Source organism: Homo sapiens, chromosome 11 (genome assembly GCF_000001405.40).
Source record: "Homo sapiens chromosome 11, GRCh38.p14 Primary Assembly".
Lineage (NCBI taxonomy): Eukaryota > Metazoa > Chordata > Mammalia > Primates > Hominidae > Homo > Homo sapiens.
The window spans coordinates 115,525,497-115,539,932 of record NC_000011.10 but is presented as its reverse complement, the minus strand read 5'-3'; the positions used below and the strand labels follow the sequence as shown (position 1 = coordinate 115,539,932).

General features: G+C 45.3%; 1 pseudogene; it reads left to right on the top strand.

Annotated features, from left to right (window-relative positions):
- FTLP7 (ferritin light chain pseudogene 7) lies at positions 350 to 1,215 on the top strand (annotated as a pseudogene).

Here is a 14,436-nt window from a genome sequence, read left to right as displayed (position 1 = left end):
ACAGAAATCTGGGAATTAGAGAATAAATATGGTCACAGGGGCTAGACTACATGACTTAGTCCTCGTGACCAGATATGGCCTAGTGATGGGGTTGGGAGTATTGGCCAGTGGTGCCTGCAATTCAGGGCTCTCAATGTTCCTTCCCATGGTCGCAGAGCCTGTGCAGAGCTGAGCCAGCAGGACAGGGCTCCACAGCGTGGTAGGAAACATGGGCGGTTCTCCATCTTGGGGAGACTCGATGGCCATCTTCCAACATTCAAATGGAAATCATATAGAAAAGGAATCAGATTTAATTGAAAGGGTTTCAAAAAACAGAACTCACACCAATAAGAGAAATGGCAGGCAGAGTGTTCAGCAGTCCCATGAATATGTTTCTTCTTCAACAGTGTTTGGATGGAACAGACCCGGGGACTCCCTCTCTTCCAGCCTCCGAGCATCCTCCAGTCTCCTCTTCACTTGCAAACTCCGGGATCATCTTGGCCATCTCCTGCTTCTGGGATCAGCCCACACAGTTGTTGTGGTTAGCTCCTTCTTGCCAACCAATGAGAAGCTCCCAGATTCATCAGAATTATTCCACCGACGTGGAGGCAGCCACTAACCTCCTGGTCAATTTGCATCAGTGAGCCTCTTCCACCCACTCTCGCTGGGCTTCTGTCTCCATCATGATGATGTGGCTCTGGAAGCTGTGGGCCACTTCTATGAATTGGACAAGGAGAAGCACGGAGCTCCAAGCATCTCTTGAAGATACAAAACCAGTGTGGCAGCAGTGCTGTATTCCAGGACATCCATAAGTCACCTCAAGATGAGTGGGGTAAAACCCTGGATGCCATGGGAGCCGCCACGGCCTTGGAGAAGAAGCTGAACCAGGGTCTTTTAGATCTTCATGTCCTGGGTTCTGCCCACACAGACCTCCATATCTTGACTTCCTGGAGAGCCACTTCCTCAATGAGGAAGTGAAACTCATCAAGAAGGTGGACAACCACCTGACCAACCTTGATAGGTTGACTGGCCCCCAGGCCAGGCTGGGCAAATTCCTCTTCCAAAGGCTCACCCTCAGGCATGACTAGGAGCCTACTGGGCCCAAAAACTTCTGAAGGATCCCCTTCAAGGTGTCAGGGCTTCTGCCTGAGCCTCTCCCTCCAGCCACTAGGCAGCTTTTTAACCACCTTGGAGCTTTTTCTCAAGCCTTGGACCAAATGGAAATAAAACTTTTTGCAGTAAAAAGAGAAAGAAAGAGAGGACAACTCTGCCCCAACATTAGGCATTTCTACTAGCTGGCAATTTCCAAAAATGGAATAAGGCAATGCTTGTAACCTGTCAGATGTGTAAGGAGGTTTGAAGACAGCTGTCTCCACTGGAGAAGCGACTACTTTGTATTATATAAATTTTTTTGTGACCAGGTTTCACACTGTTGCCCAAGTTGGCTCACTGCAGCCTCAACCTCCCAGGCTCAAGTGATCCTCCTGCCTCAGCCTTCCAAGTAGCTGGGACCATAGGTGAGTGCCACCATGTCTGGCTAAATTTTTATTTTTATCTTTGTAGACACAGGGTCTTGTTATGTTGCCCAGGCTAGTCTCGAACTCCTGGACTCAAGGGATCCTCCTGCCTTGGCCTCCCAAAATGCTGGGATTTACAGGTGTGAGCCACTGCACCTGGCCTCCACTTTGTATTAAACGACTGCTGTTGTCTTTCAACTTAAAGATCCTGAATTCCTTGTCTTTTTTGTTTTCTTACCTCAAGGAGTTCCACTGTGGTTCTTCAAAATGCTCTATCCAGGTATTCAAGATGGTAAGGAAGACCACAGGGGCATTTGCATATAATTGGATTATGAAAGACTGAGGTTTGAATAAACTGTGCAGACTATTTACAGACAATTTTCAGGTTAAAATTACATCACGGCTCCCCTTATAGTCATCATCCTTTGATTTCTCTCTTCTGTTTCTCCTCCTGCACCTATTTACATTGACCCAGGTCAAATCTAATCAAATCAGCTAGCATTTGTGGAGGGCTGACTGTGAGCCAGGCACTGCGTTAGATGCAGATGCTTACCTTGGAAGCCTGGGCAGAGAAGGGTGGGCTCAAAGAGTCAGGGTTGGGGAGCATAAGGAACACTAGAGCCTGGGATGAATTCTCCAAGGCCAAAAATGCTCACTACCCATTCATGTAGGCCCAGTGTAGAGAATAAAGATCTCGAATTCCCTGGATGCACTCCCTACAACTGCCCCTTCAATGCTCAGCTCAAAAGCCAAGACTGGGCAGTATCCTGGGAATTCCAGGATGTGTGCACATGGCTTCCATGACAGTACAAAAGGGAAGGTTCTCAGGCTGAGGAAGACAGCTGTTGGTTCCTGTGTAGACAGGGTGGGCCATGCTGAGCCAGGAGGAGAGACACAGATAAGCCCTGCCTGCCTCAGGGCCCTTGTCCGTGCTGTTCCTTTGAGGCTGAAAGGCTCTTCATGTTCCCCCTGCCTCCTCATCCCAGCCTCCCAGAGTCCCTTCTTCTTGCTTCTAAAGGACAGCTTAAAACTCCCTTCCTTCAGAAAGCATTCCCAGATCCACCAGAGGAAGTTGGGCACCTTTCCATAGCATCTTCAGACTTTTCTGTGTAACGTTTTTCATAACTATAACCAATAACTGTGCAATTGCTGTCTCTCTAGACTACAAGCTCCTTAGGAGCAGGGAACTTGAATGAATAAATGAATGAATGCTGTAAGTCAGAAAAAGAAGAGAAAGGTAACTGGAAGCAGGAGAAGCAGAAACTAAGGCATTAAAGTTAGAGGTTTGGCTGGAGCAAATAGAAAATCAGACGGGCAAAGCCGAGGGTTAGGTACAGACCAGGTACAGAAGCAGCAAGGGCTGTAGGTCAGGACTGTGAAGACAAGGCTTGCAAATGCTGGATTTAAACAGTATCACCTTGAGGTGAGGAGTGGGGCTCCTTTTCTGGGCATGGGGCAAGCTTTAGAGAGGAGGGCTCCCACTTGAGCTCCCCTGGTTTCCAGCACAAGAAAGATAAACTTCCTATGGCAGAATGAACCACCCAATATAAATGAGGGTTTATGGGACATCTGTCCTCAGACCACAGGGACTTGAGATCCCTACTTAGCAAGGTTGCCATGTCTCACTTACAGCTGCCCTGATCTGTTGGGTTTTTGTTGTTGTTGTTGTTGTTTGTTGTTTTTTGTTTTTGTTCCTTTTTTTGGTTTTGTTCCTGCCCTCCCCCGCCTCCCCAACCCCAGCTAAGCTAAGGAAACTCCATTAGCCTCTATCTCCATTACCTGGTCATCTGATTATCAGATACCCTGGGTTTTCTTGATTATTCAATTGAGACCTCTGGGGGAATTTAAAAGATGGAAGAAGGATGGTGTGTCCCAAGTTGAAGGCAGAGTCCTATCTTAGAACACAGCTGGGTGTGGTCTGATTAATTGCATTATGACAGGAAAGACAGCAGGGGTTCTGAGATCAGGAATTAGACATCTACTCAGGTGTGGCAAGCCCTAAGGGGAGCGCAGAGCCATCAATTCAGGGACCATATGAGAGTTGGGGCCGGAGGTTAGCTCCGGGGCTTCAGCAGGAAATATTAGGGGTCACCTACTACGTAGATGGGCAGAGATGCACATAAGAAATAAGTCAAATATGGGCAACACACAGAAGTCCCAGCAGGCAGGAAGACACCTTTGGGGATGTCTGTTTATAGGAAGCAAGCTAAAAGGACAAGATGTAATCCCTGAGGAGACTGGAGGCCAGGGCAGGACACTTGTCTGAGAAGGAATGTCCTCAGATTCTGAGGGCCTGAGTAGAAGGAAAATAACCAAGGAAGGACTTAGGGATAAAGGCATATGTCAGACAATCCACTTGTCAGAATGAAGCACAAGATTAGGGACAAGAAGCAAGCAGCCAGGGTGACAAGACCAAATCAACACAGTTGGACTGCAGCAGCTTAAATTCTTCCTGCCTGAAGTCAGAATTGATCCTAGAGCCTGGGGCAGAGCTGAGCCTGCAGATCTGGCAGGCAAGTAGATTCAGCTCAGGGAGGAGAGAGGCACAAAGCCTGGGAACCAGGTGAAGCCTGACAGATGGAACACAAATGATGCCCAGTTCTGCTCCAGCTGTTTTTGATAGCCTGACTTCTTGCTCATAGGTTCAGGAAGGATGAAGAATGGGCTGACATGGCCTTGGAGAGCAGCTGCTTCTTGCGAGGAGTGGGGGACAGGAGGTTTGTGGATGCAGATTTGCAGAGCACTCTGAGTGTCTTAAAAGGGAGTGGGTATCTTATCAACTGAGGGGAGAACCTTAATTCAAATGAAGAAGAGGGGCTTAAGTCCTCCATTCGCAATAAGAATATGGCCCCTCCAAGAAGTCTGAGAAAGCACATCTTGCTGTATGAAATCACTTTATATGTGGTCTCTTTTTTTATTCTGTGTATTTGCTTAGTTTCTCTCTTCCTCATTAGAAAAAAGAGCAAGGGCTTTTTCTATCTTGTTCACCTCTGCATCCTCAATGTTTGTAATAGTTGGAACCCAATAAGTATTGGTTGAGTAAATGAATGCATACATGCATGAAGGAATCAATGAAGTGACGCATGGTTCTGCAGTTATCATGCAGGCTACTTCTCAGGACTCATGAAAGAAAACCTTGCTCCACGTTGCCTGGGAGGCACCTGGACCCAAACCAGCCTCACAGGTCCAGGAGTGCTAGTCTCTACAACAAACCCATCTACTGACTCTTTAACTGAGGGCAGCAAAGCCCAAACCAAGTTTAGGCTCCCACGTCCACATGTCTTCAGACCGCGTCCTCCCTGGCAAGTTTGAGTTAGGACTGTCCACGTGTGTTTGTGAGAATATGAAGCAGCTGAGGAGAGAGACCCTGACCAACCGGGAAGGACTGGCAATTCATGGATATCCATGTCCAGGCGACATGCGGGATGTGCTGGCATTCAGATACCTGGGCGAGGAACCCGGGAACAATTCATTACGTCACGCAGCTATGGGCAGGGGAAGTCACCACTTTAAGTGAAATGTTCCAAGAAGAGCAAAAAGTAACAAGAACAAAACAGAAAATCAGGGTTAGTGATGGAAATTCATTGATTTCTCTTGTGGGTGTAAATTACAAATGGGTGGGAAAGACAGTAGGTAATGGTAATGGAAGCTGTTACGGGGGAGCATGGCTGTGGCAGAGCTTCACCTGTTGGCTGAGTACCTGCTGTGGTCCAGCACTGTATCAGGTGCTAAAGATATTATCATGAACAATGATAATATTCTCAGAGACTCAGTGTTTGGAGAGTACGGACACTAAAAGGGCAAACACTAAGATAAGAACTTTAGTAGCTCCGTGGGCACACAAAACAGGAGCACTTATCTCAACCTGGCGGAGTGAAGCGAGGGCAAGGAAGGCTTCCTAGAAGAAATGACATCCAGGTTGAGAGCTAAATAAGAAAAGAATTTGCCAAGCAAAGAGGGAGGGGAGAGAATTCCAAAGCAGGGCAAGTAATAATGTGCCCCACAACCTGGAGCTAAAAGAAAGCATGGAGCATTTAGGAAACTACAGGGACTTCAGCCTGGTTGGGGTGTGAAAGAAAGAGTGGTGAGAAGTGAGAGGTGAGTGGAAGCTTGATCATGAAGAACCTCATAAATCAGCTCAAGAAATTTAGATTTCTCATTTTGTCAATGGTGGGATGGGAATGAGGGAAGATGGGAAGCACTAATTGAAGGGTTTTAAGAAGGGAAGTGTGTTCTGGAATAATCTCAATTTCCCCATTGATTCCTTTTTTTTTGCGGGGGTAGGGGGAGACAGAGTCTTGTTCTGTTGCCTAGGCTGGAGGGCTGGAGTGCAGTGGTGTGATCTCGGCTCACTGCAACCTCCACCTCCCAGGTTCAAGCGATTCTCCTGCCTCAGTCTCCCAAATAGCTGGGATTACAGGTACCCGCCACCACAACTGGCTAATTTTTGTATTTTTATAGAGACAGGGTTTCACCATCTTGGCCAGGCTGGTCTTGAACTCCTGACCTAAGGTGACCCGCCCACATCGGCCTCCCAAAGTGCTGGGATTACAGGTGTGAGCCACTACACCTGCCCCCCATCCCATGGATTCTTCCCACAGGAGGAGGGATCTTTCTGTTTCACCGAGGTGTTCCTAAATCCTCCTCGGGACACTGTGTGTCACTGTCCACATTCCCTGGCACAGTGCCTGACACACGATGGATTCACAGCACACAGATGTTGCCCCTTGCATGAGGATCATGGTATGATTTAACCGGCCTAAGGGACATGTTGGCTGCTGTCCTCTCCTCATGTTGGAGCGATAGGGAGAGAAGGAGCCCAAACATATGGGGCAACCAGAGGCAAACAGTGAAGCCAGAAAGCGGTCCCAGCCTGCAGCATAGATTGTGATATACTCGGCAGAGCCCATTTTTTTCTCTTAGGCAAACAGGTAGATGTCATCTCCCAGCCTCCCTGAGAGTAAGTGCCACCAGGTGACTGAGTTTCGAACAATGAAATGGTAGCAAAAGAGATGTACTCCTCTTACAGGTCTGGCCCATGAAATCTCTCCCGGCCGGGTGCGGTGGCCCATGCCTGTAATCTCAGCACTTTGGGAGGCCAAGGTGGGCAGATCATGAAGTCAGGAGTTTGAGACCAGCCTGACCAACATGGTGAAACCCTGTCTCTACTAAAAATATAAAAATTAGCCGGACGTGGTGGCATGTGCTTGTAATCCCAGCTACTCGGGAGGCTGAGGCAGGAGAATTGCTTGAACCCAGGAGGCAAAGGTTGCAGTCAGCCGAGATCATGCCACCGCACTCCAGCCTGGGTGACAGAGCAAGACTCCATCTCTGAAAAAAAAAAAGAAAAAAAAATCTTCTCTCTTATAATCCCAGATCTCCTTTCTCCTCTTCCAGCTGAACGAAGAGGAGTCTGAGGGTCTGGAGAGGGGCAGACCACAAGATGGACAAGGCTTTTGTCCCTGAATTGCCACATGGAAAGCCATGAGACTAGGACCAGCTTCACTGAAATATAATGTGAGTGACTAATCGACTTCTGTTGCTGAGCCACTGACTGGGGTGTAGGGGTTTATCTGCAGTAGCTGATAGCACTGTTTATTCTAACAGTTACAGCCGTCCCTCAATATACATGGGAGATTGGTTCCAGGACCCCTGGGTATACTCAAGCCCACACATGCTCAAGTCCACCAGTCAGCTCTGCAGAACTACCTGTAGCAAAAGTCAGCTTTCCGTACACGCAGGTTTCACATCTCAGCAATAGTCTTATTTTTGATCCGCGTTTGATTGAAAAAAATCCACATGTAATGGTCCCACACAGTTAAAAACTGTGTTATTCATGATACAACTGCATGCAGCTTCCTTAGCCCCACCTTCAGCAAACTCATTCCAAAAGGCCCAGAGAAGAAACTTCAACTATGCCGAGCGAAGTCTCAGGTCCAATGAGGAGAAACAAGACAGTGCAGAAGATGCCTCTCTCTGAACGAAGGTCTCCTACTGGAAGAACACAGTTCCTCCATGGAGACAGTCTCAAGACCTCTTTTGGAACATTTTATATTGCTTGTTTTGATGCCCAGTTTATGGAATTAAAAATAAAACCTCTCACTGAAATATGCAACTGACTCAATCATTTAATTCTGTGTTCTCACTACACATAAAAGTTCATATCTTCACATGGATATGAGCATGAAGTTGTTTAGTAAAAAGCACCTAGAAATGAAGTAACACAAGACATAATATATAGTCAATGTGTTTTATATGGTGAAGAAAATTTTTCCAGTTATTACTAAGATGAGGAGTTATTCTCTTTTTACAAAAAAATAAGTCAGAGACTAAAAAATCCCTCGCAATGCCTCACAATGGCTCAAAGAACACACGAAGCAGAAAGACAGAGTAAGGCTACGGTTTATAAAAAAATAATGTTGTTAGAGTTATAGGTAATTACATGGAAAATTCATAGAATGAATTCACAAATGGTTCAGTATTACATGGACCTGTATAGTAGCTATTATAAACAGCAGTAGCTAGAGCTACAGAAATACAGTTAATGGAGATTCTGTACTTAGAGGGAAAACTTTAAGAAATTGCTGCCAAAGAGACTGAGAATTTCTTTTTACAATTGGTATAAAAAGAAGCAACCATTCAAAAGTAGGTGGTCTGGCTAAAGCAGCAGGGGATATAGTGAAAGATAAAGAACCAAGAAGATGAGAAAAGAATTCAAATAGAAACAGGACCTGCTTGGCTAAAATTTTTAAATTCTTAGTGAGAAAGGAATTGGAGCTAGAACCACATTAAATATAATAGCCTGCTTGGGGTTTGTCTACAGTTAATTCCATCAGATATCATTCAAGATGGATACCTGAACCAATAGACCCTGGCTATAAATCACAGTCTAGTTGATTTTGTCCCAGAGCGGTGAGATCAAATCCGCAGTCCTCTAAATGAATGAAAACCCAACGAGGATTTATTCTGCAAGTGTGTGCATATATTATATCATTTATTAGAGACCATCTCCAGATTATCAAGGTCCTTCCCCAACAAATAACCCTCGTGGAATTCCAGTTGTGCCTGATTAAGAAATGTGAGTCGGGCAGTGGGATTAGTGGGTGTTATCTAGATTCAGGCAAAGCCACCTCTCCACCCTTGCTTCCCTCATCTTTCTCTCGTTTCTTTCCCCAAGCAGTCTCATCTCTCAGACTCTCTTTCTCCTCTCCCCGTGCATCCTCTTCTTTATCACAAGCCCTTGGTTCTCTTTGTCTAGAGACTCCAGAAAGAACAAACCTGGGCCACCAGGCTGTATCTATCACCTTGAGTATGTCCTCATCCACTTGGACTGATGGAGTCGGTGCACCTTTCTACCAAGAAGGACCCTGACCTTCTGCTGCAATAATCATTCATGATGGTCTCTCCTCCCTGGCAAGGCCTCTGTATCTGCTGTGAGAATACTTCCTCATCAAAGGGCCCAACGTGAACACCAGCCGCTCAGCTGCGCCCCCAGCTGCAGTGTGAGAGCTTGGCTGCTGTCCTAAGAGATAGAGAGAGCTGAGGGGATGGGAGAAAATAGCAGAGAGGAGGTTGGAGGGAGACAGTCAATGGGAAGGGTTCTTGCTATTCCTCCTCCCCTCAAGAAGGAGCAGCCTGGGATGAGCTGATTGTCCAAGCTGAAAACAACCCTCTCTCTGGGCTGCGAATGCAGAGGAAGTCCCAGCCTTGCCTTCAGAAAGAGAATGATTTCTGTGCTCTATCTCAGAACTTCAAAGCATCCCTTCAATTAATTATTATGAAGACGTATATTAATCAGGAGGCTACAACAGCTTCTTAATACTTGCTCTAGTACCAGTTTGAAAAGCAACTCTGAAGGGAAAATCCAATTTTGTCTAAGGTGATTGGGGTAGGGAGTAGAGGGTGGTGATAGGGGCTGATGCTAGCCCTCAGAGCATTGGCAAATCAAAGCAAAAATCACAGGACCTGTGTTTCTTATGAGCAGAAGCAGCAACAAGATCATTACTACCACCAATATAAAAACATGCACTGGTCCATTTTTCCCCTTCCCCATCATTCCACTACCCTTCCAGCACCTCAAAACTAGGTTCGCTAAGTGAAACAAGCTAGACACAAAAGGACAAATATGGCGTGATTCCATTTATATAAGTTATCTAGAATATGCAAGTTTGTAGAGACAGATGGTAGATTAGAGGTTACCAGGAACTTGGGGGAAAGAAGGTAAGGGAGTTGCTGCTTGCTAGAGTTTCTGTTTGAGGTGATTAAAAAGTTTTGGAAATGGATAATGGCAATGGCTGTATAACACTGTGAATATAACGAATGTCACAAATAATACATATAAAATTGGTTACTATGGAAAATTTTATGTCATCTACATTGCACTATAATTTAAAAACTTAATAATAATGTAATGTACCAAAATCATTGAATTGTACACTTTAAATTGATAAATTGTATGGTATGTGAATTATATATCAATAAAGCTATTAAAAACACCAAAAACCAAGTCTACTAACAATCTTCACTCACAGGCACAAGTCTGCTCCAGCTTCTTTCTTTCTCATTTATTGAGAACCCTTCCTTGCCAGGTACTCTGCTAGGCGCTGATGAACAGAATAGACATGGCAGGAATTGTTTAAGTAGTTTAAATCTCCTTTCAAGCATCTGATGGTTTTAAGATTGAGTATCCCTTTATGTTATTACCTAGGTTTACTGTCCTGATGCTGACCACAGAACTAGACAGCTCCAACTTTATTTCTGAGTCCAGGCTCCCTGGTAGTTCCTGATTCGGGTAGAGAAGTCTCTGTTTTAATCTCCTCCCTGAGTTCCTATTGCACCAGCCTGACCAATCTCTGTTGTCCTGGAAGTCTCTGCTTTTGTACTAATAAGTCCCTTTCTAACCACCCAAGGTCAATGGTTCCAACCTAAACTCCATCAAACTTCCTGGGGCCCTGATAGCCTGCAGAGAGACCACACTGATATCCACTGCTCATCTGTCTGAACTTCTAAACACCCTCATTCCAATTTACTTTTACCACATTATTCTCCTTTCTGGCAGGTAACTTCGCAACTTTCCCATGGATCCCCTGATACCAACTTCATATCTGCACTACAACTGAAAAGACCATTTTCCAGACATACTTGCAGATATGTTGGCTTCCCTATCAAATGTTCCAAATAGGAGGTTCTGGTACTACCTCATCTCCCTTGCCCCCTTGCCACCTGAGTAATTAACCATGGCCACAGAATCTCAAGATATAATAATTATAGTGAGTGCTATTTCTGAAACACAAACATGGTCCTTCCTAGCCCAGGAGATGACATATAAAACACACAGATACTGGAGTGAAAGCTCCGTACTCTGTAATCACCTGGGGAGCGTGCTAACCTGGCCGCACGTTAGAATCACCTGGAGACCTTTTTAAAAATACTGATTCCTAGACCACAACCCCAGAGATTCTGACTTTAATGGTCTGGAGTGGGGTCCAGATAGGGGAGAATTTTAAAAGTGCCCCAGGTGACTCTTATGCATATCCAGGGTTAGGAGTAGCTGATCTAAGAGAAGGGGACCAGATGATATAGAAATGTATTTGTTCATTCATTCAACAAGTATTTATTGACCACCTACTATGCACCAGCCATTAAGTCTAAGATGCAGTGGGCTAGTCAGTAAAGTTTCAGGTTCTCATGGAGTGTCCAGTGGTTGATGTAAAGCAGGCTCACTGTGCACTGGTTACCAACTTTTCTGAGTCCAGTGAGACAGAAAACGCTCATATGCAGCGAGTTATATGAAGTGGATTTATGACTTCCAGACAGACAGCAAGGAACAACAAAAGCCTACGATTCATTGCCAGCTGGTCCCTCCAGGCTCAGGAAAGCTGCCGTGGATGGATGGAGTCTCATCAGCACGTGCCCCACTTGCACGGCAGCTAAGAGATTCCAGAAAGCAGCCTACCCTGGGTTTTATTCCCAGAGGCCGCATGACATGCTGGGCTAAAGCACTGAAGGACGTCCTGTTTCTAAGGGGGAACTGGAACAGGGCCCAGGCTGCTCTTGTCATTCCTTCCTTATCTCAGGATGTTGCAGTCCCAGAACATCCTACAGTTAGTCTTGAGAACTGCAAGGAAGAAAGGAGAAGAACTGGGTCAGTCTGAGGCCACCTGGAGAACTGTCCTACCATTGGTGGAAAATGAAAAAGAAAACAAAAAAGTATAATTGTATAGCTAGAGATAAAGCAACTCTAAAATATATAAAGTGTATTTTTATAATATGAACACAAGTTTCAGGGTTCCTGGATCTAGGTTTTTGGAATTTACGAGCAGATTACTGGCATTAGTGGAGTGACAGCGGGGAGCCCACTAGCCTTCAGAGCTAGGCATGGAGTAGGGAAGTACTCCTTTAGAGAGAATCAGAAACTCTTTCTCTATCTCTTAATGAGCTTTAAGCCATTCAGAAAACCAGGGTGGTATTTGAAAACATAGCAGCTGTGATTCCACAGGGGAAAGAGCCAATGACAGAGCTCTCTTTGGAACAGGGCTTTAAAAGTGAAACAGGATAAACAGGTTTGATGGCAGCCTGTGGGAGGCAGAGGGGGCATTGAGCCTTCCACTTCCTTCTTTCTACAATTGACTATTTTTCTCTCACTTCAAGCTGTTAAAAAGGAAACAATATGGAAGGGGTAGGTTTTCCCAACTCATCCTCCCTACCCTGGGCTCAGCAAAACTTTGATTAAGAATCCCAGGAGAACCAGGCTGACTTAAACCTTGCCAATTTATGCATGAACCAGATCCTGTGAGTCTGTGCTGGGATCTGCATACTCCATATTTCTGGAGAAAAAAACAAAAACACAAAACACACAAAAAACAAAGCAGGATAGCCATTAGTTAGCTCACACTCAAACACAGGGCCAGTGTGTGGCACTGCTATTGCTGCTTTGTGAAAATCCCTGCTCTCAGGTGGCTTACATTCTGGCAGGAGTATTTAATAATCAAGTGTTAAACCAATGAAACATATATATATATATATATATATATATGCAGGGAAGTGGACAGAAAGCTAAGTAGGGTACCATTTTAGATGGTGTTTTCAAGGAAGTTCTTTCTAAGGAAGTGACATCTGAGAAGTGGTATAAATGAAGTAAAAGAATGAATTCAAAACTCCTAACAAACAGAAAGTCTATCACTAAGATATGGCTCTTTGTTTTACTCATTCAAATAAAAAAAATCTCTCTGCTTCTAACCAGCTTTGACCAAATTCTCTTCCTAAAGATCTTCCTTCAATGGTTCTGGATTACAAGCCACCCGGACCTGGGATCTTGCTGTCTGCACATCTCAACAATATGCCTCCTTCTGTAAATGTCTTCCTATAAACAATGCCCATGGTCCATAATTTCTGCTACTGAGTTCAACCTTATAAAGCTGCAATCCACTGAACTGAGGCCCTCCACTGCCTCCAGCCAGTTCTTACTCATATTCACAGATGGAACTAGACACCCCTTTCCAGGTGCTGTTTCATCCTATACCATATGTTAACTGAGGGAGGCTGGTTTCCCAGAGGCAATCACAGCCACCAAGTCATCAACCATGATGCTCCCTGCAAGCCCTATTGGCTAAAACTGGGTGAGCAGAGGGAACTCCTCAGACAGCCTTCTTCTCCCAGAGTCCAGGCACATGAGGTCAAGGTCTCTTCTGTTCCCCAAGGAACAATTGTTGGGAAGTTCTTATGTGTACTTGACTTTAGTTTCTTTTGTTCTGACATCACTCCTTCTATTGTCCTTACTTGTGTTTCAGCCATGAGCTGGACAGCAAAGGGGCAGGCCTTGCTCAGCCAAAATTTACCTACAAACTTCTCTTGCTTATTCTGTAAGTGACGAAGAGGCCTGAGTGAGTGGTAGAGGAGAAGACAAGGGTGGAGCGAAGCCTTAATAGCCATTCTTCCTGCAGTTATGGAGTTCGGGGCTGGTGGGCATGTCACAGCCAGAAGGATGATATAGACAAATTGGATAAAACTCAGGAAAGAGCAACACACCAAAAAAAAAAAAAAAAAAAAAAAAAAAAAAAAAAAAGATGATGAAGAGGCTGGAGGGATTGAATGATGAGGAAAGATTAAAAGAACTAAATATGGACAGACTGGCTAAATGCCGATTAAAAGCAGCGATCAGAACTGTCTGCGGGTATCTGAGCACCAGCAGGGAAGAGGGGCCGCACTAGCAGGTGTAGGGTCAGGCAGGGGGGAAGTGAGGTGGACTGCGAATAAATGAAGGGAAAGTGTTAGTGGCAAACTGCTGGGTAGTAAAAGAGCCTCTGTAAAGGAAAAAGGTGGGAGGGGGTGTGGACCAGGAGATAGAGGGGTAGTGGGTATAGAAAAGGGGGACATTTAACATATGGACCTCCCTCTGAGATGTCTAAATATACTCAATGATGTTAGGCAAATTCTGGGGTGGGGAGGTGGGGAGAAGGTGTGCTCCAGGAGACCTGAGGTGTGTCACGTGAGCCATGTCCTTATTTAACATCTAAGCTATAGCAGTGAGTCCTGCAGGCCTGGATCCAGGATGGTCAGAGACCAGGAAGGATAGGACCATCAATCGGAGCATTGGGACAACACAAATATTACACCATATGACTGCCCAGCTGATAGTGACCTCTGATGCCCCTTTGTGTTTTAAAAGTAAAATCCTGAACCAGAAATATTTCCCCTTCTGCAGAGAAAGAAGCAGCTGGTCAGCTTGACAGGCGGAAACTGCAGCTTTCTCGTTAATGTGCAATCCTGAAACGGTGATGTATGGCTGGTGATAGATCATGTTGGGTTTCCGGAGAGCAGGGAAGGCTAAAGCCGGAGCCTAATTCATGATGCATGAACGCATTGATCTTCTTGGCTCTGAAAATACAGTGTAATGAACCCCCGCTAACACATCATTTTTATTCCACTGCACCTCGCTAAT